This window comes from Homo sapiens, chromosome 13 (genome assembly GCF_000001405.40).
Source record: "Homo sapiens chromosome 13, GRCh38.p14 Primary Assembly".
NCBI lineage: Eukaryota > Metazoa > Chordata > Mammalia > Primates > Hominidae > Homo > Homo sapiens.
Window position 1 is genome coordinate 59,265,518 of NC_000013.11, and position 25,943 is coordinate 59,291,460.

Here is a 25,943-nt window from a genome sequence, read left to right on the forward strand (position 1 = left end):
GCAGTATTTGGAAAGCCAGGGATAGCCAACGAGAAGCTACGTGGACTCAACTAAACACGAGCTATTGTAGGTCAAGATGGAGAGAAATGGAGAGCAAATGGAGTTGAGGGCTTTTGCAAGAGCAAGATTATGTTAATTTAGTTAGCAATAATCATTGAACTCCTGTTATATATCAGTAACTAGGCAAAAATACTCAGCCAAGCTGTAGGGAGTTGTTAAGTACTGGCCACTGTCTGGGGCTTCCACCAGAACTGGGTGTAGATTTTTTCCTTAACCCAGCCTTCCTTTTTTTTCTTTTTCATGCTTCTTGGAAACACACACACACACACACACACACACACACACACCACACACAAACACAAAATTGGTAATATATATTTAATACTTACCATGTATCAGGTACTATGCTAGGCACTGTTTAAAAACATAAACTCGCCATTCCATATACCAATGCTGTGAAGAAATCATTATTATTAGTGCCATTTGCAGATAAGGAAGATGCGTACAAAGATGTTAAGAAACTTATGCAGATAACCATACCACTTTTGGAACTACTAACTTCACAGACCTTTGCTCCTACAGGTTAAAGTCTTCATGATTTAGGGAAAAAAACCTGAAATATTTTTCGTTAAAATAGTTAAAATTTCCCATTTTCACTTGAGTGTATAAACAACCATGCCATTATCTGCAGATCCTTTTGGAAGAAGTTAAGAACCTTAAACTCTGTTACAAAATTGAGTGGAATTTTTATTTCAAATTATCTAAGGTTACAAATTGAGCAGTCTTGCCTATACGAGTAATTATTAAAACTCTACAAACAGGCAAATAACTATTGCAGCCTCTTTCCTTCCTAAACTCTCTTGTGGGTGATACATGCTGAAGAAAACATTTATGCTTTACTTAACATTTTCTACTTAAGAGAAACAATCTGAATGTCTAAATTTGGGTCTGGAAAATAAACACAAATTTCCCTTCCATAATTCCTCTTCCTTCCTTCCTTGCTAATCAAACCAAGATAATGGTTCTGCCCTAGAAATTGCCCAATGACTAACAGGTACTATTGTTTTTCATATGAGAAACCACACTTAAGGAGACACCCCTTCTTATTTGTGAAAAATATTGCAAAATTAAGGAGGATCAAGAGAGTCAAGCAAGGGTGAAGTTCACTCACATTCTTGACAGGGAAATCAAGAGTTTTCCATTGTTCCCCTGTTATCTAGAAAAACACAGAATTCTTAAAGTTGAATCATGCAAAAGTTCCTTTGACTACTTATATTTTTCAAGACTATACTATATTTGAATATGTCCAAGTATCACTATCTGGAAAGACACACACAGGTCAGTCAGACAAATATTTAAAAAATGAACGGTACTTCCTTAACAGCAAAACTAATTGGTATGCATAGCACTGTAGCCAGGTTTGGTAATAGCTATCATTCACTGAGAATTCTCTATATTCTAAGCTGCAGGTTCTCAATCTTCATTACATATTAGAATCACTGAAGAAATTTTTGTTTCGTTTTAACTTTTTATTTTAAATTAATTTAGACTCAGAGTAGTAGAAAAAAATAGCACCAAGTGTTCTCATATATCCTTCACCTGCTTCCTATAACATTAACTCTTTACATGATCATGGTACAATGATCAGAGTCAGAAAATTAACATTGGTACAATACTATTAACTAGATTATTAGAATTGTATTAGTTGTCTCACTAACATTTTTTCTTTATTCAGTATTGGATTTATTGTTATTTCTTCTTAGTTTGTTCCAATCTTTGATACTACCTCAGTCTTTCCTTATCTTTCATAACCTCAACCCTTTTGAAGGGTGCTGATCAAGTTATTTCATAGAATTTCCCTCAGTGTAGGTTTTTCTGATGTTTTCTCATATTCAGAATGAAGTGATGCATTTCTGTAAGAATACCACAGAAGTGATGGGCGCTTCTCAGTGTGTCAGATCAAGGGGTTTGTGATATTAACATCCTATTCTTGCTGCTGTTAACTTTGATTGCTTGGTTCAGGTCACATTTACTGGGTTTCCCCATGGTAATATTACTATTTTTCCCTTTGCAGTTATACATATCTTAGGGATAACACTTTGCAACTCTGCAAATACTGTTTCTTGTCAAACTTGCATCCACTTGTTTTAACATCCGTCAATAGATCTTGTCTACAACAATTGTTACTGTGGTGTTTGTCTAATGGTGAGTCCTTCTACACTTAGTGTTTGGAATTCCACCTGAGGAGATTTTTTTAAATGCTCATACCTTGCCCCCACCAGAGAGCAATTAAATGAAAACTTACTAAGCATATAATCACATGTCCTCACAATAAGGCTAATAGGCTGATATTATTATAATATTATTACCTGCATTTAAATATGAGTAAATTGATACTCAGAATGACATAATAACTTACATTTTTTGTGCCACTAAGTAGTGAAGACAAGACAGAAATTCTAAGCTGCCTGTCTCTAAAACTCATGCTCTTTTCACTGTCCCATCCTCTCTCCATCAAAGTTCAGCTCATTCTTCCTGATGTTAAATTCTGCCCCATTTAAAGCCTACTCTCTCTCCCAACTTCAATCATCTGTAATTTTTGCCTAGATCATTCCAGGGTTAGACACATCTTTTTTTCCGGAAACTTTTGACATCCACCTTCCTTAAGAGTTAGGAACAGCTGTCAGCTACATTATTTGTCTTCACCTGGAGAATAGATCATTGCTGAAAAATTTGTAGATGAAAGAGTATATCTCACACACACACACACACACACATATCAAATCATTTATGTGTTTAGGATAATAAACAAATAAACAATATTTTAATGAAATATAATCCAAATGCTCTCTGAGCGAGTTAAATTCATCAGGCATTGAAACATCAAAAACTATGCATGCAGTCAGTGGTTAAGAGCAAGGTTCTGAAGCCAGGCAGATCTGAGTTAGAGTTTAGCAAAGCACTCAAAGACATTGAACATGTCTTTTAACCTCTTTAAGGTTTAATTTCCTAATTTTTAAAATACACTTCTTGCGAAGAGTCAATGAACTCTTAGCACAGGGCACAAGCAATTAGCAAATATGAGCTTTTAAAAAAAAAACCACTATAACCAAACTGCTTCTTGACAAGAGACAAGTGCTTTTAAAGAAGATTCTGGGGCCAAACGTGAGAGAAGTAAGCTTAGAGAATTTGGATTTTTAAGAGACCAGATGTTGCGGGAGTGTACAGGAGTTTTGGAACTGTCAGAGGGGCACATCAGGCCTCTGATAGAGAAGGAGAAAGGGAAATGGAGTGTGTGAACAGTCTTGATTGATTTCCCTTGTGGAGGCAACTATCAGTACAGAGCTAGATAGCTGCCAATCAGTTATGGTATCATCTGAATGTAAAGGTAAAGTTTTCCCAAGAACGTCTTTCAGGAAGGATATTATATGTGTGTATCATGGAGATAAGAAATTTTGTCTATTTCAGTCATTTCTATACTCCAAAAACACTACCTAGCATATAGTAACTGTTCAATAAATATTAATAACTGTTGGATTAATGGATAAATGAATGAATGCATGATAGATTCAAAAGACCATATTAAGAAGCTTAGCTCCTTAATTAGGAAGGTATGCCCCATAAATTCAAAAGACCATATCAAGCTTAGCTCCTTAATAAGGAAGGTATGCCCCATTGCTTACAGCGTTTTCTCTTGTGGAGAAGGGTAAGCAAATTAGGGAGCAGGGCTGATTTTCTCAAGTCTGTAGAAAAAAAGCCTGAGTGCACCTACCAGCTGCTATTCCTCTCTTCCTCTTCCTCATTTTAGAGTTTAGAGTTTCCTCTAAACCTTTGTTGAACAAATAAGGAATGGTAATTTTTTTTTAAGGATGCAAAATTGTAAACTGGTAGGACATTTATAAATCTGTTAGACCTTGGCTGTATGTCACTGAAAATTACATATATACTAGGGAAAGCAGTCATTGCTTGCCCAGCTATGAAAATGTGAAATAAGATGCCTGTGGCAAAGACTGGAAGTTGCTTTTTTCACGTTCATGCTTAATGAGAGAACCTGAGGAATGTGCCTAGCTGAAGAATTGTATTTCCCAACCACATTTGTAAATCCAAGTAGTCACTGTGATGTAAGAGACCTCCAGGGAAACTCTTTTGCCCCTGGCTCTTACTATTATTATCCCTGCCTGGAATGAAGACATGATGGCTGGAGCTCCGTGAGTCATCTTGTAATTTTGAGGATGCTGGAACAGAAAGCTATTATAAGGCCAGGTCTCTAATGATTTTCTGGAGCTGCCATACCAGCTCTGGAATTTCCAGCTCCAGGCTTGAATTATGTGGAAGAAAAATAAGTTTCTATCTTGACTATGTGACTATAGTTGGGTCAGTTGCCAGCATAATTTCAGTGTTGTACTCCCGTTAGATGAAGCATGTGTACAGCTGAATCAGTAGAAGCTAAATACGTGTCCTTTGGAGGAAGAAGGCAATTAGAAGTGTTTTTTTGTTGTTGTTGTTGTTTTGGTTGTTTTTGTTTTTGTTTTTGAGATGGAGTCTCGCTCTGTCTCCAGGCTGAAGTGCAATGGCACGATCTCAGCTCACTGCAAGCTCTGCCTCCTGGGTTCAAGCGATTCTCCTGCCTCAGCCTCCCGAGTACCTGGGACTACAGGTGTGTGCCACCACGCCCAGCTAATGTTTGTATTTTTAGTAGAGACAGGGTTTCACCATGTTGGCCAGGATAGTCTTGATCTCTTGACCTTGTGATCCGCCCTCCTCAGCCTCCCAAAGTGCTGGGATTACAGGCATGAGCCACTGCACCTGGCCTGGAAGTTTTCATTGGCAGTGTTAGTAATTATGAAGAGGGCAGGAGAAAATACAGAGCACAACTTAAGGAAACACTTCTTATGAGAGCACTATTACCTACTTTAGAGTTGAACAACAGACCTTGTACCTAAGCAAATATTTTTGTCAATAACTGGCACATTTTAGTATTGAAAATAATCATGAATCACCCAGTTCAATTACCCATCTGTTGCTCAACTCTCCTCTAGAATATTTAGGTAAGAAGTCATCCAGTTATGTTTGGCTACATCAAGTAATAAGTAACTATACTTCCCATGCCTGCCCATTTTTATCTTTGAACAATTCTGATAGTTAAATTGTTTTTTACATTAAGCTGAAATATGTTTTCCTCTAGCTTCAGTCCACTCATTCTAGTCCTGATCTTTAGAGCAATTTCAGCACATTCAATCCCTGTTCTAAGTGACAAGCCTTCAATTACCCGACTCCTCTTGAGACAGTTGCCCTTTCAGATCTTCATGTCACAATATCATTCTGAACATGTGGAAATCCACTTCTCCAAAATCCAGAGAATATGTATGACTATACCTGCTCATTCCTTTCCTAGCTATTGCATTTTTTGAAAGGAGGTGGCCATGTCCTCTCCAATTACATAACAACTTCCATTTTGCTGAAAAATTATCTTTTCACTATCAAATACAAGGTAATTATTATTTCCAGTTGTTTTTAATAACTCTGGGAGATAAATTTTGAGACAAAGCAGGTAAGGAAGTTGTCAGATGTGTACTATTAAGTGAATGAGCGTTCCATTGCATATCCCCCAATTTTTAAAATTCCCCATTTTTTCTATATGTTATACCTGTGCAACTTGTATGACCTAAATCAGAAATAAGTCATTTATTTCTTACATCAAGCTAAATGATATTTAATACATCTTCACAATAATAGTACATCTGTCCTTTCACCTTTCATTAATACTCCATGATCTCCAAGAAATTATTTTCTTAGAATTTTGGAGTTCTAAGCAGGCATAAATGAAACAACACAGAATATGACTGTAACTTTTTCCACTCAACAAAATCTGTTCCTACTGAATTGGAGCTGTTTTCCCATTACCATATTTCAAACATACCCTGCTTGCTAAGCTTTGGTGACACCAACGAGATATTTACCATCTGTGTTATGATATCTAATTCACTTGGTTACCTGCTAAAATCAAATCTATTGAGCCCACAGGATGTAATAATAACCAAAATAAATGTAACCTAAAATAGTTATTTTTAAAATGAAAAAAAATGAAATTGAAGTTTAGCCAACTGGCAATTTAGCGAGGGCATTGTAAATTTAATCAGGAACTAATCTCTGGGTTTGACACCTAAGGGCAGACATCCTATAAGGAACTTCTGCCACTTTTCTCTGCTTCCACAACTAGTGTTATGTCAAAAAGGCAAAATGAAAATGGTCAGGAGCGGCATTTACCTCATACCAGGAGAGTAAAAGTCATTTTTCAAGCTAGATTTTTAAGAGTGTAAAGCCAGGTTCACAGTTTAGGAGAAACATAGTTTCTCATTCACAATCTGTCTTCCAGCCAACCTATTCTATTACCAATATCAGGAAGGTGCAGAGATAAAATATAGTTTAAATCTCAAATCCCTCAAACCAGGCTGTCAGGGAGGGGAAAGGTCAATGCTGCCATGCTGGATAAAAGAAAGCTGATGATGACCACTGTGGTGATAGCAGCTTTTCACTTGATAAGTAGGAATTGGAAGAATTGGGATGGGATCAGCAGAAAATGAGAGTTGGGTTATTTGAGGCTTGTGCTGTTGAAGTTAGAGACAGATGTGCCCAGAGAGGGTTAGCTAAGTAGTAGGTTAGGCAATGTATGTTCAAATGGAGGTAAAGCATCTACAAGCTCTGGGACTCACTTCTCCTCTGCTAAATGCTGTAAGAGATTCTTTTCTTCTGATTCTGGAAATTTCATGCCCAAGCACAGGAGGGATAGGCGTCTTTGGTCTGTAAGTGTACTCATGTCCTCCACTGAGTTTCACTTAAGCATGTTTCTGTTTCATAAAATAAACATACAAAAATGTTCAGAAGGTTAGTGGGATATGATTTGGAGTTCTCATTCACATACAAAAATAATTGCTTGAATTATACAACTATTGTATAGAAGATAACATTTTTATTATTATCCTTATGGGCTAGTGTTGACATTTTACAAGCATGAGTGAGGATAGGATTCTTCTGTCTTCAAGGATTCCACAGGATAGGAGAGAAGATAAGGCATGCATAAGGAGCTAATACATCATCTGTACAATGGTGTATGCTTTCAGAGAGAGATACAGATAAAGAGCCCCAGAGGTTCAGAGAAAGAAGAGATGATCTCTGAACTCAAGAATACCACAAGCAAGATGGCAGATGGTAAAGCAACAGGATTCAAATAAAAGCATGTTGATTTAGTATCCTGAAACTTTACTGAAATCATTTAATAACTCTAGAAGCCTTTTGGTGGAGTCTTTAGTATTTTCTAAGTACAGAATCATATCATCAGCAAAGAGAGATACGTTAACTTCTTCTTTTCCTGTTTGGGTGCCTTTTATTTCTTTCTCTTGCCAGATGGCTCTGGCTAGAACTTCCAGTACTATGTTGAATAAGAGTGGTGAGAGTGGGCATCCTTGTCTTGTTCTAGCTCCAGCTTTTTCCCATTCAGTATAATTTTGGCTATAGGTTTGTCATACATGGCTCTTATTATTTTTAAGTATGTTCTCAATGCAACGCAGCCATAAAAAGGAATGGAAGAATGTCCTTCGTAGCAACGTGGATGCAGTTGGGGGCTGTTATTGTAAGTAAATTAATGCAGGAGCAGAAAACCAAATACCACACATTCCCACATATAAGTGGGACCTAACCATTAAGTATACATGGACATAAAGATGGGAACAACTGGAGACTACTAGATGGCGGAGCATGGGAGTGAGGTGAGGGTTGAAATGCTACCTATCAGGTACTATGATCACCACGTAGGTGATGGGATCATTTGTATACCAAACCTCAGTGACACACGGTTTACCCGTGTAACAAACCCACATATGTGCTCCCTGAGCCTAAAATACAAGTGAGAAAAACAGCAGCCACAACAACAAATGTGAGCATGGTGAGTGCTGGCTGATCTCAGTCTTACAGCCCTGCCTCAGCCACATCATTTCACTGTGCATTAGTTTCTTCAACCATTAAATGAGAAGGGGAAAATGGCATTCTTGCCCAAAGTACTCAATATCAATAGACAGGTCCCAAGCCAAACAAAAACATTGCATTGTTCATGGAAAGCTTCACAGTGCTCAGAATAGAGCAGAAGTAGCTTTGCTCTTCAAACTTTTACATGCTTCAGGATAGTCCCTACAAACTGTGACTGTGTCACCAAGCCAGAGGAGTAAAACTGGATGTTCACATGCAGCCAGTGTTAAAAGAAGGTTAATTTGTGTTAGCAAGCTGTCAAATAACCTGTCACACTTAATTATTTTTCTTCATACACAGACTCCCCCACCCCCTCGAAGTATTAAATAAGTAAATAAATAGAAAAACGTCTCCAGGATTATGTGATAATCTTTCAAGGCTACTTTGTGTCTAAATAAATAAGAAGAAAAACAAAAACACTGCTGTTCTAAAGGGCTTTTATTTTTCTCTTTGAAGGCACTGCAAAGTACTAGCCATGATATAAATTCAAGGGCAAGTGCTTTGTTCTTTATAAATTTGAATTAGTAAATTGTTCCTCTTCACCCAACATATTTTTAATGTACATAGAGATAAAATTTGATAAGTTCATAAAAACCATTAAATTAGCGCAACAAGAGGTGTTAATACAGTATAAGCACCAAAAATGCATGAGACAACCCAAAATGCAGAGAAAGTAATAGACTCTATTGTAGTATATGAATTACATTGTTAAAATGATTATTGATGTTATAGCTTATATTTCAAAGACTGCCTTTATATAATAGGTATATTGTCCAATCTGATAATGAGAAAATATGTTCTCAAGGGTATACCTGCTCATATATTATTTCTATAAAATTATAGATATGGAAGAGTTACCTGAAATAATGGGACATCTGAAAATAAGAGGCAGGGAGAAGAATCTAAAGGAATAAAATGCTTTTAAATAATACTAAAATATATCACTTTACAATTTTTTTTAAAAAGAAACTACTCTGCATCAGGTGCTTCAAAACAGAGTCAAAAAGGATGTGCGAGATCACATTATTTAGATTTCTATAGCACTGCACATTTTTCAAACATCACCTATGCATGAATTCTCAGCAATATTTTTCTATGGTTACTTGATTATAAATTAGATAAATCCTCTCTCGCTGTCTCTCCCCTTTTCTCTCTTTTATTCTGATAAAGAAATTGAGAAGGAAATGAGTTGAGTAACTTGTCTCAGCTCATGTTGAAAAAAAGACAAGATTCAGAATATCTAATAAGAGAATTTTCAAATATGATAAAAGGGGTCATGTCTGGCCAACTTAAAAAAAAAGAGAAAGAAAAATTCGTCCTTAATCATGGTTTAAACACCATTGTTTTAGGTTATGTCAGTGGTAGGGGTCACTTCTAGTTTCTAGCCCAACCTGTAAAGAGCATGCAAGTCATCACTCCCATCTTCACAAGAAAAAAAAAAAAAAGCTGAAAAGCTGAGCAAAATGAGAATCAACAACTCTTCTTACATCCTTCAGAAAATTGAGGTCACAGGACAAAGCACCATCCCCAAAATATGAAAGACATAGAGAATCACAGCTTACCAGAAACAGAAACCTCAGCTAGCACCAGCACTGGTTAGGAGTTCTTAAAGGGTAGTTGACTAATTGCTGAAGAGTAAACGTGGACTAGCTTAAGAAAGAAAAACTTCTGGCAGCCTTGGGGGTGCCCTCACACTTTTATGAGTTTTACCTTGAGTAGCCTCACAAGATTCTTAGTGAGATATCAATGAAAAACAAAATCACCTTATCTTCCAGTAAGGGAGGGAGAAAAGTGACCATTTTGAAAATGCCCAGAGCATTTCAGGCTTCTTAACAAGGGCTCCCTTTAAGGAAAAAATTTTCCCAGACCTTAACTGACTTGGATTTTACCAGACCCTAATAGACCCAGAGGAAGGGAAATACCCAACTTTAGTCCCCTCTAGCCTTCCTGTCTCATTTGAGAAACAAAACAAAACTAAACAAAACAAAACTAAGAAGCATTAGTGAAAGTGACAGCCCAGGGGCACAGGCCAACTAAAAGACTTAGATAAAATCAGAGGACTATAGAGTTCTTCTCCCACCACTACCACTCCACACACCTATCCTATAACCACATCAATAGGGTTCCTAAATAATAACAAGGGATTACAGCTAAAAAGCACTGCAAGTCTCAGACCCTATTTACAAATAAGCCTATAGGGAAATGCAAAGACAACAGAGAAGAAAAAAAAAAAAACAGGACATCAGAAGAAATTTTAGCCTCTGACATCTGCAGCTACAGCAAATTATAAACACAGACGAACTATAAAACCTCACTCAAAAAGTTACCTCCTTTCCTTTACCAATATATGAAGTTTACCTTTCAACAAAAAAAATCATAAGTCATGCTGAAAGGCAAAAAACACAGTCTGAAGAGACAGAGCTGGACTTAGGTATGGCAGAGGTTCTGGAATGATTGGACCTGGAATTTAAGTACAAGTAATATGCTAATGACTCTAATGAAAAAAGGAGCAATATGCAAAAACAGTTGGGTAATGTAAGCAAAGAGATGAAAACTCTAAGAATTAAAAAAAAATGCTAGAAGTAAAATTTGCTAAGACAGAAATGAAAAACGCCTTTAATGGGCTCATCAGTACAGTAGATATAGCCAAGGAAAGAATCAGTGAGCTTGAAGATATGTCAATAGAAATGCCTCAAACTGAAAAGCAGAGATTTATTTAAAAGAGAAAAAAAAAAAACTGGAAAAAAAGGAGCAGACTATCCAAGAAGTGTGGTGCAAATATGAAAGACGGAACATACAAATAATAAGAATTTCTGTAAAAGAAGAATGAAAAACAACCAGAAATAATATTTGCAGCATTAATGGCCAAAAATTTTCAATTGATGGGACTTGCTATAAGGATACAAGGGGAAATTAGGGAATGTAAAAAACTGTTTCAGCTACCAAGGAAAGTATCTCATGGAGAATTAGAATACCTTGTCTGTCTCATCACACAACATAATCTAGTAGTTGCTATTCCCATAGAACATTGTTCTACTATGAGTGGGTCTAGTTCTGTTTCCTGACTACTTTCTTCCTTCTTCTACCTCATGTCCTTTGTTTACATGACTTCTGCCACCTCATACCAGCTGTTTTTCTCTGGGTGTCTCTTAGCCTTCTGATTCATTTAGTGTCTGTGTCCCTCTCTCTATGTTCCTATTCTACTCCATAAGGAATAATATGATGGGGTTAATCACTGTCTAGCATAAACCATCCCTACTAGACAGGATTCATTCTTCAAGCCTCCTGATAGGTTGATAGATGATTGTATTTGGCTCTGGTGTCAATTCCCAATCTAATCATCTTTGATCTAAGAAAAGTCATGTAATAAAATGAATTAAGGACAAGATGCTTCCTACTTCATGTTTGGAAGGGACCACTGGCATGGTGCCCTCTTAGTGTGTTATCAATTTATCGAAATTTCTAGGCATTTGGTAGCATGTTGCAAAAAGCAAACAAATTTCCAAAGAAAATGGTAACTTTGAGACAATATATCCTTTTCTTCTTGAGCTCCATTTCTGTCTTATAGATACTCTCATTGAAATTATGTTGTGCATTCCCCACCAATAGTGTCAACTATTGAGAATGGATACCCCAGTGGAGAATGATATCACCAATGCAGTGGCAGGGAGTGTGAAATGTAACACTGCTGGTGACAGTCCTGGGGTAAACTCTGGGAGTTAACAGAACCCAAGCCAGACTTCCCAGACCACCCAGTGCACTCTTGTGACAGACCAGGACTGCCAGGTGCAAAGAGAGTAGAAAGATATGGATCTGACATCCCCAAAAGCAGCTGTACACTATACATTCATTGTTCAAGCAGCTGTACAGCTGTACATTCTTGACAGTCCCATTACTTGAGTTATTTCACTATGTCACCTGTCCCAAAATATTTTTAGCTATGCCTCTACTAAACATGTGGCTTGAAGAAGCAAAGATAAAAATGTAGGCTGCAGCCTAGGGTTGTGTGTGTGTTTGTGTGTGTGTGCGCATGTGTGCATGCACATATCACGCTGTGTGTGTAATTTTTCCCTCAAGGGCACAATGTTTGAAGAAATGTATTTTTCATCTACCTGATTTCAATTTAGGTTGTCAATTTTCTGAAGCAGATAAAATCAATGTAGGAAGAAAGCATAGTATTCTATTAGTGCTTGCTTTTCACTTGAATTCAAGTTAAAGATGAATGTGCTTCCTCTCTCCTAGTTTTCAAGGGATCACATTAGACTAACTTCCCCTCTGTACACATATGACACACAGCAGTAAGGGAGAGGCATCAGGACAACATCATTCCTTTTAGTTCTCGACTGTGTTTGACCTTCCTGGACACCTTTCTTAGGGAGGAGGAGAGTGCTTTGCTCTACCTCCACATAGAGGGCTATGTGTGAATAAAGGCTATGAGATAGAAGATAAGAACCCTCTTGTCTTTAGACCTCTCTGGCCTCAGAATCAAAAGAAGAGGTCTCATGCATCACATCTTTTCTATTATCTTTGTCCGCTATGCATACCATTTCTCAGTAAGAAATAGAGTGAGAACTCCTGCTTCCTACTAGAACCATGTATTTAAGAAAGACACACAAAATATGTAGCAACACAGTGTTCCCATTTTACCAATTTTCTCTGGTCTCACATACATTGTAACCCAATTGCTACATTGCTGTAAAATATGCATTTCATCCTAACCTGTTTCTTTGGATAGATTTTCAGGGAACAAGATGCAAACACTGTCCTCCAGAACATCTTTGTCTTACCAAAAAAAAAAGAAAAAAGGCTATCACTGTTGTCACTATTCGATTTGAAAAATAATATATGACAATTATTTATTCAGTCACAAAAATGCATTGAGTGCCTCAATATTCATAAATGTTCTTTATACATGTGTGTGGGAACTTAAAATGGGCACTTTTCTCATTTTAAAGATGAAGAAACAAAGTCAGAGAGAAGTTAGATGATTTATCGAAACTAAGAAATGGAATATAATTGCAAAAATGAGACCTTTTTTTGAGTCAGGCTTAGTGATTGATAGCCAAATCACTTCACTTACATTTCACACAACAGCTCCAAATGTTGCCATCCTTTAGGAAGCATGAGATAGATAGATGGTAGTTAGATAGATAGATATTAATAGGTAGACAGATAATCATGTAACATAATGCAAGTATTTGCTTTTACCTCAGTTACATAAAATTTGTTGTGGCTTTACACTCTGTTTTAATTAAAGAGATGTTCAAAGTCAACTTTATTTTTCACTAGAAAAAAAAAATATGCCAAAATGCTCCCTAAATTAAAAAAGAAAATTGACCAGACTTACTTTGTTCCCTCTCTTAAGGGTCTCTTGTCCATTAATTAGCATTAACGAAGGGAGGAGGATGAGTGAACTTCCCATATCTGGAGAGTAAAGAAAGCCCCAGATATACTCAGGGCTTAGTGTACATGCTGCATAATGGTATTTCTGAAGAGTAGTGAATTCTGTATTCAAACAGAGGTCAGCAAATAAATCCAGAGTGTCTGAGTGTTTGATTATTTTCTTTTTAAAGATGAGCTGCTCTGATGGTTGGAAGTTTTCATTTTCCAGCTCTAACACAGAGTAGTCACAGATGCAAACATGGACACTTTGCCTGCAGTCTCAATATAGATTAATTATCCAGCTGCCAGAAACCATGAGTGGGCTATGCTGTTTCCGTGATAAACCCCAACCCTCCCTCACGCAGAGACAAAAGAAACACACAGAGAGAGGCTACAGCCTCAAACCATAGTTTTTTACCTTGAATAGACTTTCCAAATGAAGCCCTTTCACTTTTCTTTCTATATCAAAACATTAAAAACCAAAAAGGAATTTCAAATCCTGTTTTTCTTCATTAGTGTATCGCAAACAGTTAATTAGAAAAGATTTCTTTTACTAAATGATTTAGTTCTTATGTCTGTTTTAATACTTGAAAGGTTACAGCTTCAGGAAAGGAGGAAAGAGCCTTAATTAAAGAATGAATGATTGAATATTCAGTTTTAATTGATGTTGCCCCATGCTATTATTTTGCATGTTTATAGATGTTTCATGTGATTCTGTTATCAGAATAACCAAAGAGAGAGACATTGACTACTGAGCCTAAAAAAGAGGAGGGCATCTGCCTGATCACATTCAGCCATTTAAGTTCAAGAATCATCTGAAGCGTGGTTTCCATGACAACAAGTCACTAATTGCAAACATAAAATAAAGTAAAAAATCAACCTTCCTTGAATTTGGCAGCTACAAAGATGATGTCTAATTTTTTTAAACAGTGAAATGGCACTTTTCCTTAGGGAATCCCTCGAGTCATCTTCCCGAATCCAAGAAGGTACTCCATTGTAGGGTTAATTCTAGTCTGGCAAAGGTGTCAGCTGCAAGCTGCCCAGATGTGCCAGGCTTTGATTACCAACACCTAGCTTTTGGTAAAGATAAGAGGAGATGGTTACAATGAGGAATGAAGGATTTTTGTATTTCTGAGCTACAGAACAGAAGAGAGCTGCTGAGGCAGATAAATTAACCAAAGAAATGTCTACCAAATTCTGGATTTGAACATCCTTTAGACAAGCGGGGGTGGGGGGGAAGCAAATTGAGGGGGAAAGGTGAGTTCAAACCTAAATTCGGCCACTTTCCATGGAGTTAGTCACCTGTGCTCACTCACTTGCAAAGGTTTCTCGTTTCTCTGCCTGGCAGCTTTTTAAAAAACAAACAAAAAAGTGAACCCTTTGAGATTTGGAAACATGTTCAATCGACACAATGGCACCATTCAAAATTCACCAATGTATGAACTGCAGCATATCATTTGTAAAAATTGCTTCAGCCTGAGTTACCTTTCACCAGCTCTCTAAGTCTACTCACTGGGTCACTAGGAGTGAGCAAGAACATTTTGATAAATTCTGTTTCCATGACGATGAATTAACCAGTGAAAAGGGGGAGGTGCTGAAAGATCTGTATTCTGTAGAATACTCTCAAATGTTTGCCTGTTTTCATTTTTAGCCATTTAGTTCTCATGGCTCTGTTCCAGGACTCTTTAATTTGCCAGTAGCTGTTTTTCCTACACAGATTACAGGAGTAATTCATCAGTGAATGTTTCACTCAGTGGTCCCATCTAATGTAAGGAAACATAAAAATGAATTTTTCCAATTATGCCTTTTTTGTTTGTTTAGAAAGAATGTAGTAAGCTTTTTTCCTTTTCTTCTCTCACAATCTAGCTTTAGTGTTCTTATTCTCCCTTATTTATTGACCATCACCTTACACAGGCTACAACTGCAATTTGTAAGATGTTGGGATCCGCTTTTAAATACCAATAAATCCCCGAAAGGCAATTATTTTTGAATTTAGTGGACTGAAACCCCAAAGGGGGATGTAAAGAGAAAAAAGAACATTAAAACATGCAGGCCCAGTACATGTTACAATGAAGCAAAGTGTTCAGACAAAAAATTAAGAAAGCAATAGAACTTTTCCCTTACTAAATTACTTTAAATTGGCTTATTTATATACAGTGGAATCTGTTTATGTTATTTCAGCATTTATCTACTTCCTAAATTTAATGATAAAACTATGTCCTTGGGGAGCAAAAAAAGAATGTAATTCTGATGGTTTTGTTTTCCAAATGATGCAAATAGCAAGAACTCATCTATTTGCACCAGGAAAAAATGGATATGAAACTATTTTTCTGAGGTATAAAGTAAGAATAATTTGTCCATAAGACATGCATTTGCAATCTAGGTTTGGTATGTATCTCAACAAGTAATTCATTTTGTTCATTTTAAAAACTAAAATAATGAGTTTATGAGATTTTTCCCTTTTTTTTCACCTAAAATAAAGCAAATAACCAGTTTTCAATTTCCAGTTGTTTGCTTTGCCATTGTGCAGCCACCTTTTAAGGGATACTTTCAATCCTTCCCAAATTTATTCATCCTTTGCTCAAAGCAAAAAGAATTTTTACTGGGAGATGTTCTGGATCATCAACAATTAAATTGATCAGATGTTATCCTACTCTAAGGTTGAAAGTGCAAAGAACTGTGAGAATCCCAGGAAGTAAAGAAGGAAACATTTGTTATGCAAAGTTCTGCCAATCAGAACTACTTTTTAGGCAGGATACGGTGGCTCACGTCTCTAATCCTAGCACTTTGGAAGGCCGAGTCAGGTGGATTGTCTGAGCTCTGGAGTTCGAGGCCAGCCTGGCGAACATGGCGATGCCACGTCTCTACTTAAAAAAAAAAAAAAAAAAAGTACAAAAAATTAGCCATGCATGGTGGTGTGCGCCTGTAGTTCCAGCTATTCGTGAGGCTGAGGCACGAGAATCCCTTGAACCCGAGGGGCAGAAGTTGCAGTGAGCCCAGATAGTGCCACTGCACTCCAGCCTGAGCAACAGAGCAAGACTCTGTCTCAAAAAAAAAAAAAAATCTAAACTACTTTTTAAAATTTTTAATAAATAGTAATGCAATAATATTTCTTTTTAGTTAAGAACAGATCTTCAGGGTCATATTTGCTCTAAGAGCTTAATTTCTCTACCAAGAACAGAAAGAACTTTCACATTGAAAAGAATATGGTAATTTTTCCCCTCCCTCTTCAACACACACGCACACAAAATGTTATTAATATTAGTGGATTTCAGAGAATGTACATGATTGAAAATCAAAGTAATTGTTTCAATGAATAAACCCTAGTTGTTTTGCAGCAGACATCTATAAACCACTAGAAAAGAAAACTATGCCAGCCTAGAATCAGTGTATTGGTAGCTCTGAATTTGTTCATGTTGATTAAAAATAGTGAGGGCAACAGTTATCTGTTAACTGTATATGGACAAGGGGAAGGCTAATGGTGTCTTTTGTTCACCTGATATATGTAGCTCCTTCTGCTTCTTATGGGTAATGTGTATAGGTTGTGCTAATAGTGCCATGCTTCCCTTCCTAGAACCGAGGCCATAATGCAGGTAGCTGGCATTCAGTTCACACTGATGTTAATAGTGGAAGATTTATCTGCCAGCTGTTGTCCAGAAAATAGAGATGGCATGGGCCACCTCAAGAGGCAACTACCTTTATACCAATGTGACCCATAGTTAGCACCAGACAGTGCAGGAGTCAGCTCATTAATGCTAATGTCTCCAGTGAGAAATAGATAAACAGCAGCTCTCTCAGTCCTGCAGATTGAAATTGTCACAAAAATACTGTTGAGCTCAGGTGCTGATCATTAAAAATGAGTACAAATGAGAGGAATAATGGCTTGTTGATCCACCTGAGTCAACTTTGACATCCTTATGACACTATTTATAACTGTATAGATGTCTTTCAGCCCTCACTGAGAGAGATTTTTGACAAAGAAAATAATGAAACTTCTTGCGTTTTTGGTTAAAACTGGTCAATAACGATACATTCTAAAAATTCCAATAATTTTAGTTCATTAAATGATATACTCAACAACTACTGCATATGCCACAGAATAGCTATTACTTGAAATTCTTTTTAACCCTGATGTGACATTTTATAAATATTCAGGACAATGACATTTTGAAAGGCTTGTTACTTTACATATGTGCATGATACATGTTCAAATACATAGCATAAATCATAAATATGATCACATTTAAACAACCCTGAAAAGAGACAGTGAATGTATATTCACATAATATAAACACTAATAAGAAATGTATATTTATGGATCTAGGCCGGGCACAGTGGCTCACGCCTGTAATCCCAGCACTTTGGGAGGCTGAGGCGGGCAGATCACGAGGTCAGGAGATCGAGACCATCCTGGCTAACATGGTGAAACCCCGTCTCTACTAAAAATACAAAAAATTAGCCAGGCGCAGTGGTGGGCACCTGTAGTCCCAGCTACTTGGGAGGCTGAGGCAGGAGAATGGCGTGAACCTGGGAGGTGGAGCTTGCAGTGAGCCAAGATAGAGCCACTGCAGTCTGGCCTGGGCAAAAGAGCGAGACTCCGTCTCAAAAAAAAAAAAAAAAAAAAAAGTATATTTATGGATCTAAAGAACAGGTATCTTCTAATATGTGCAATCTGTTCCTAAAATGTATGTAACACTTTTTTAAATCATGTAGTATTCTAATTCACTGAGACATGATTGCTTGAATAAATTTTGCAATGATCCTTTCAGTAAAGCCAGAAATACTTTTGTAATATAAAAAACTATCCTCTCTATATCTGTTTTCCACTTTATATTTTTATACATGTGATGTTTAAATATTGTGTTTAATATAAAAAATTTTAACCTACATACCTGTATTTGTTGCTGGAATGTTCCCCATTACTCTTCCCCCAGAGGTAATGCTGAGAGGTGTAGCTTCAAGGGCTGTATGTTGGAGGCAAGAGATTTGAACAAAAATACTGGATCAAACATCCAGCTTTCCTACCCAGAATCTAATTCCACTGTCCACACATTTCTTCCTACTGCAAAAGAGCTTTATACCAACATCTAGTTTGATAAGCCAGGATCTCTGCCACAAGCAAAGGAAACATTTGATACTTAACTGAAGGTGGTTAGATGAATAAAAGTAATAGTCCTCTACTGAATTTATGAGTCTAGGCTAACCCTCATCAGTAAATCACATAAAATCTTAACTGCATTGAGATCACTATTTTACAAAGTACTTTTAGTGAAGTAGATTGCTACCAATTCAGTGAGATATCTGACATAGTCATTCGCTCAACAAAATTTATGAAATGTTTGCTATGGCTTTGTCCCAAAGAGTTGGCTGTGTGTATGCAGAAGGTATATCAAGGTAGAGATTATGAGAGAGAGGTATTGGGGAGGGAAGGGTAAGGTTTACCAAAATCTTTCTGAAATGAGATAATTGGGAAAGGGCATTCCAGACAAAAGGAGCAGCTGGGCAAAGGCAGAGAAGTGAAAATCAGTCTGGTTGGTATAGAGAATCACAAGGAGTTAAGTGTTGCTTGAGTGTTCACTGTGAGACAAGTAGTGGGAGTAATGCAACAGTGGAGGCTGCACCAAGAAAGGCTAGGTAGTCATTGCTAAAAACTTGGACATTATCTTGTCTCATTGATCTTTGGGGTGGTGATGGCAGTAGTTCTGATGACAGATAGTGACAGTGACAGCAAATATGCAGAGAAAAGATGAACTGAAGGAATCTTTAGGAATTAGCGTTATTAGAACTTGGTGATTGGGCATGGGGAGGAAAGTAATTGCAAAATTCTATATGATGCACAAACTCTAGTTTAGGCAACTGGGTGGATGGTGGTGCCACCAACTAAGGAAATGAAGCCCATTTAGGGGAGCCTGTTGAAACAGCTGTGACTGTGGAACATTCCTTAGAGATGCTCACTTGGTAATTGACAGTTGAGTTTTAAGCTAGAGCATAGCCTTAAAGACACGGACATGAAATCCATTGGTAAATAATGGTATCTGAAACCATAAGGCTGAATAACATTGCTGAAAGAATATAGAAAGTGAGATGACTTGTGGATTGAGGACCCAACCCTAGGGCAATTATTTCAGACATTGCCAAAAAGAACAGAAGCCAAGAAAGGAAACAGAAGGAGTTCATCAGACATAGGAGGAGAACCCGTAATGTTAATATTATGAAAGCCACAAAAGTGAAAAATGCAGCAGAGAGGTTCAGTAAGATAAAGATGGAAAAATATACTTAATCTCCCTCTCCTTCTCCTTCTATCTGAATACTGTCTCGAATTCCAGGGCTCCAGAGATCCTCCCACCTCAGCTTCCCAAAGTGCTGGGATTATAAGCATGAGCCACTGTACCTGGCCACCTTAATTTCTAAGCAAGAGAAGGCTTATCCATTTATTTTGTTTATTCTCTGCTTAGCCCTCAAAGCACTACAAATTCTTCAGATAATACTTCCTGAATTCATTCTTCTCGATTAAGTTTGTAATAAATTTTATGCAAAAGTCAGTTAAATGTTATTCTTAGTAACAAGTATCAGAAGCACAGATTGTATCTATTGCCAGTTAAAGGTAGAAACTTTTGCTTTAATGTCAAGCTGAGAGTGCAACTGATATTTTGTGAGAATTGTGAAGCCTCACTCACCAATTGGTCCTAATAGAAAGGTATACCATTCTTCAATGCAAAAGAGAGAAGAGCAACAACTTGTAAGGAGGAAAGAGAATGGGCTATAAAGATAGTACAGGCTCCTGAGTCAGGGGTTAGTGGAAATAGAGTGAAATGTTGACTTGGCGATTTACACGGGAGCAACCTATTAACTAGAGACATTACCAAAGACAATCTTATCGAGTTCAATGCAAGTAACACACCATCAAAGCTTTGTTGTTAGGCAGAGTCAGATTCTACCAACAGCTCATTTCTCACCATCTGTGTGTCTAGGGCAAATATTTAACTGTCTTAAGTTCTACTGTCCTCATTTGTAAACATGAAATAACATTATTACCTATTCCACAAGCTTGTTTGTGAAGATTAAATGAGATAGCATATACAAAGCATTAGTCTAATACAGTGACTCTCAACAAGTGGGTATTTTTGCCTCCCATGAAGGCATCTGGCAATGTTTGGAGACATTTTTGGTTTTCACAGCTTTGGTAGGAATGGGTAGAGGCCAGAGATGCTGCTAAATTTCCTGCATATACATATGGCACCCCACAATAAAGAATGACCTAACCCAAAATGTCAGTGGTGCCAAGGATGAGAAACACTGGTGTAGTGGTCATACATGCATTATAATAGCTGGCAGCATTTCCCAAGTAATCACACTTAAGTGCTTAGCACTTTCTTTTCTAACCCTCACCAAAATCCCATGAGGTTGGTTCTAGTAATATACCCAGGTTACAGACTCAGAAACACAAAAAAGATGTACACAAGGTCACACAACCAGTAGCGGTAGAACCAGGATTCCATAAATGCTAACTATTACATTTCATGGAAAAGGAAAAATTTATTCAGGTGTCTTCAAATGTCAACTCTTGCCACAAGAATAACAACTTTTCTGCTTCTATTCAAACATCGACAAAACTCCTACAAAATTGGTAAGCTGTGTGTTTTGATTTCTGCTCTTAGATTTTTGTCTTAAATGTGGATAAAATGAAGTAATGGCTAATAGAGGAGACAATTTAGCATTTCTTAAGAGCATTTTAGCAAGACAATTGCTAGATCTACTTTTAGAGAAATCTTTTTAGTGTTAAAAATCAGTAAAACCTTACTTCAATAACTAGCATTAGGTCTTCTCTAATGCCAAAGTCAATAGCTTCTCTTGTAACAGTGTTATGGTTTAAGTACTGCTTCAGGCCTATGCTAAACTTGCACGTGGGATCAAAGAGATAAAAGTCACCTGACTATATCAATTTCACTTTAGAGTCTGAAATTCTAAGGAGCTGTACATGTATCCAATTGTCAGTGATGTGTCATTGATTGTTTTTTAACAATCTTTTGTATTGATGTGTTTTGCAAGGTGTTTTTCTCCTCTTTAAATCTTCCTTCAGGGAAGCTGAAACAAGCTGGTGAGCATGTATGTGTGTGAACCTTAAAAAAAATCCTAGGAAGGCAACAAAGGCTGAAATGTGAGCACACATGTTAAGTATTCTAAAAACGTTAATGTTTATGGAAATTTCAGCATTCTTAATTTCCAAAATTATTGAGTGAAGACAGTATAGCATAAAAAGGAAAGCAATATGGTATAGCAGCTAGAAGTGTAAGATTTACTGTCAGATCAGTCTTCAAATCCAGGCTGTATCATTTACTATGTGATCTTGACAAAGTGACTTGATCATCCTGAGTCTCAGTTACCTTTCCTATAAAAGATGGAAAATCAGACTGATCACAGAGGGGTATCTGAAGGTAAATTTTTAAAATAAATTTTACACTACCATATGCTGAGCACTGTTCTAGACAGTAAGGATGTGACCGTGAACTACTCTCATACCGCTTGTAATAACAAGATTGAAATTAAATATAATCTCAGATTGTAATAATGATTCCAAAGAAAAGAATTCTAGATAAGCTAATCATGATCAGACTAGAGTAGGGGCTGGTAAGTCCTCTTAGGAGGTATCATTTGAGTCAAGACATGAAGAATGTGGGATGGTGATCCAAGTGAATATTTGAGGAAGAGCATTTCAAGCAGAGGAAAGAGCAAATGAGAGACCTCCTGGCAGGAATATTCTGCTGAATTTGAGAAAAAGCAAGGAAATCAGTAACACTATTATTCACTGACGTAAGAGTTGAATTTAAAAGTTAGCCTAGATGGATCACTTGAGGTCAGGAATTCAAGACCAGCCTGGCCAACACAGTGAAACCCCCTCTCTACTAAAAATACAAAAATTAGCCAGGTGTGGTGGCAGGCAACTGTAGTGCCAATTACTCGGGACGTTGAGGTGGAAGAATTGCTTGAACAGGGGAGGCGGAGGTTGCAGTGAACCAAGATCATGCCACCGCACTCCAGCATAGGCAGCAGAGCAAGACTCTGTCTCAAAAAAAAAAAAAAAAATACATAAAAGGTAGCCCAGGTAAGTCATAGAGAAATGTATATGCCACAGTAGGATTTTGGATTTTATTTTAACTGTGATGGGAAGCCATTGCACACTTTTGAGTAGGGGAGTATCATGATCCAACTGTGTTTTAAAATGATCACTTTGGCTCCTAAGTGGGGAGCAGACCCTAGAGAATCAGGAGTGGATACAGGATGACCAGGTAAAGGCAGTCCCTATAGGGCAGGCAAGTGATGATGGTGGCTTAAAAGGGGAAGACGACACTTGGAAGTAGCTAAAAGTGGTTGGATTCATGATGAATTTAAAGTAGATTCAATATAACTGCTGATAGATTGTGAGTTGTGATAAATAAGAAAGATTATAAAGTTTTGGGCCTAAGTAACTGAGTAAATGGCAGTGCCATTTACTGAAATGGGGAAGACTAAATTAGCAATAAGTAAAAATAAAAGGAACTATAAGGAGTTTAGTTAGAGATATGAATTAGATATTCACATGTAAATTTTGAGTAGACTATTGAATATGGTATGTATTCAAGAAAGAAGTCAAAAATGGATCTTAATTGTGCATTATCTGAGAATAAAACATATTTGATTTATGAGGACTGAGTGAGATCCCTATAGGAATATGTTAAAATTGAAGAGAAAAGAGGGCCAGGATCTGAGCTCTAGGGGTCTCCAATATTTAGAGGTCAAGAAGATGAGGACGATGCAGGAAAACCATGGGAATGGTGGTGTCCTAGAGCCAAGTGAATAAAAGTGCCTCGAGAGAAAGAAGAACCTACTGTCATATGTTCAGTGGGGCTGAGTGAGATGAGGGCAGAGTGGACCACTGACATTTGGCAACATAAAAGCCAATAGCAACACTGAGAGGAAAAGATTCAGTGGAGTCATGGGTACGAATGCCTTATTCACTGGAGTGAGTTCAAATGAGAGTGGCAGGGGTGAAAATAGGAATGAAAAAGGTCATTAACATATTTTTGGGAGAATTAAATAAGAAAACATATGCATTTAACTCAACACTTGGCCATTATAAAGTACTACTAAATAGTTGCCATCATTATTTTTTTATCATTTTTACGGAGTCATCCCCTATCATTCAAATACTATATACTATATTAAAATTTGGCATAGCCAAAACAAAAGGAATAATTATGTATGTGTGCATATGCATATAAACATATACTATTTATTGAATACTTTTACCAAAAGAAAATTCATGTTTAATTATTTTGTTTTATCCTCACAACATTCTGTGGAGAAACAATATAGCCAAATGAGTTTTTCTCAGTTTTACAACGGATGAGGCTTAGGCTCACAGCTTATGCCTTGCCCAAATCACATATAAAGCCAGAAATGAAACCAAGCTCTAATGACACTGATATGGATTGGCTGTGTCTCCACCCAAATCTCATCTTAAATTGTAGTTCCCATAATCCCCACATGTCATTGGAGGGACCCGGTGGGAGGTAATTGAATCATGGAGGCAGTTTCCCTCATCCCATTCTCGTGATAGTGAGTTAGTTCTCATGAGATCTGATGGTTTTATAAGGGGCTTTCCCCCCTTTTCTTGGCACTTCTCCTTGCTGCTGCCATGTGAAGAAGAATGTGTTTGCTTCCCCTTCCGCCATGCTTGTAAGTTTCCTGTGGCCTCCCCAGCCATGCTGAATGGTGAGTCAGTTAAGCCTCTTTCCTTTATAAATTACCCAGTTTCTGATATGTCTTTATTAGCAGCATGAGAATGAGCTAATACAGCCACCTACCTCTTTTGTCTTCTCAGCAATGAAGAAGAGAAGTTCAATTATATCACCAAAGAGAAAAATCAAACAAGATCAATGAGAAGTAGACAATGTAAATATCTGACTTGAAGAATTAACACCCCAAAAACATTTTAATTCATAAATTATTTACACATGCACTGTTAGCCATCTTGTACAACTTGTTCTTTGTCGATATGGTCAAATTCCCTCCTCAAGTGAGAAAATGTTCTGCCTTAAAAACAGATTGAACTGTTTTCTTCATAGGAAATATGTAAAATAAAATAGAAAGAGGCAAAACAGATCCTGGGGCATATATTTAACCAATCAATCAATGGCAACTACCTATGCCAAGTAATGTGTTAGGTAGTGTAGATAAAAGAGCAAACTCTCTTGGCACCTATAGTCTAGTGAGAGACAGATACTGATCAAATGTGAAGTATTAATTTATTAATTTATAAATACATGGAGGAAACCAACAGAGTGCCATGGAAGAGAAAAACAGACATAAGCTAAGCATAGTGGAGTGTGCCTGTAGTCCCAGCTATCTGGGAGGCTGAGGCAGGAGGATCACTTGAGCCCAGGAGTTTGAAGCTGTAGTGTGCCATGACTGTGCCTATGAATAGCCACTGTACTCTAGCCTAAGTAATTATAGCAAGATCCCATCTCTAAAAAAGTTTTAAGAAAAAACAGGAACAACATGATCCAGTGTCACTGTGGTTGATATGTGTAAAAGAGATGCGAAAATATCTGTATCTTTCCACAAACCACATATAGTCCATTCCAGAAGTCTGAAAGAGACTCTCAAAGAAAGACTCTTAAAAAAGGGATAAATTCAATAAGGTCCTTTAATAACAGTTACGAAAGAAGAATGGGGTTGAATTACTTTTTGCTTTTCCTTTCTTTTTATTTCAGGATCTAGAGCTGAGAATTTCTTTTAAGGATTCCATCTTTCTTGTTTCCAGATTAGTAAAAACAAGGAACAATGTGTTTCCTCTTCATTTCCTTGTAAGAGAGTACTGAAGCCAAAGTGAAGTATTAAAAATAAGCATGAAACAATTAAAAAATGCTTCCAAGGTATGTTAGCTGCTTCCACAATCCATATGAATTCCTGCTTAATTCCTTCACAGAACCAATTTCCTATGTGCAAGAGACTAGAGCTCTTTGGAGTTGTAATCAATCCAAGTCCTTGGTACCTTCTGAGTTACAAACCATTCCCCATCAATGAGAGAATGTCTGGGATGCATTGTGTGACAATCTTCAAATTAGCTACTTCATACTCCATCTTTGTTAGATGCTAAACTAAACCTTCTTATTTACTCAGTCCTCCAACCCCAAAACTGCTTGCTACTTGTTTTTACCAACCCATGCCCCACTGTTCCCCACTTTCCTAAATCTTTCTTCTGCGTTCTCTGGAACCCCAATCTGATTAATCCTTACATATTCAGTCTCTCAAAACAATTCATCTTCTGCCTTAGTTAGAAATCAGAAGTTCCAACAGGAGGTCTGTGAACTGTTTCAAGGACTCAGTGAAATACTTTAAAAGATTTATTGTTTTCTTTTTGTTATTTTTAAATACGTCATTCTAAACTAAAAATTGTTACTATATTACAAGAATAATGCCTCACATCATGTGGCTGGCAAGATGGCAGAATAGGAACAGCTCCAGTCTGTAGCTCCCAGAAAGATCAACACAGAAGG

The 25,943-nt window shown here is 37.2% G+C and overlaps 2 long non-coding RNA genes across 2 annotated transcripts; one reads left to right on the forward strand and one right to left on the reverse strand.

Moving 5' to 3' along the window:
- Positions 1-387: 387 nt before the first annotated feature.
- Positions 388-16,187, reverse strand: LOC105370223 (uncharacterized). Its single transcript, XR_941993.3, has 3 exons — positions 14,707-16,187; positions 6,714-6,848; positions 388-453 (listed from the first exon to the last, which is right to left on the reverse strand). It is a non-coding gene; the product is annotated as an uncharacterized LOC105370223 (long non-coding RNA).
- On the forward strand, positions 15,038-25,237 carry LOC105370222 (uncharacterized). Its single transcript, XR_941992.3, has 3 exons — positions 15,038-15,172; positions 24,266-24,336; positions 25,158-25,237. It is a non-coding gene; the product is annotated as an uncharacterized LOC105370222 (long non-coding RNA).
- The last annotated feature ends 706 nt before the right edge of the window (positions 25,238-25,943 follow it).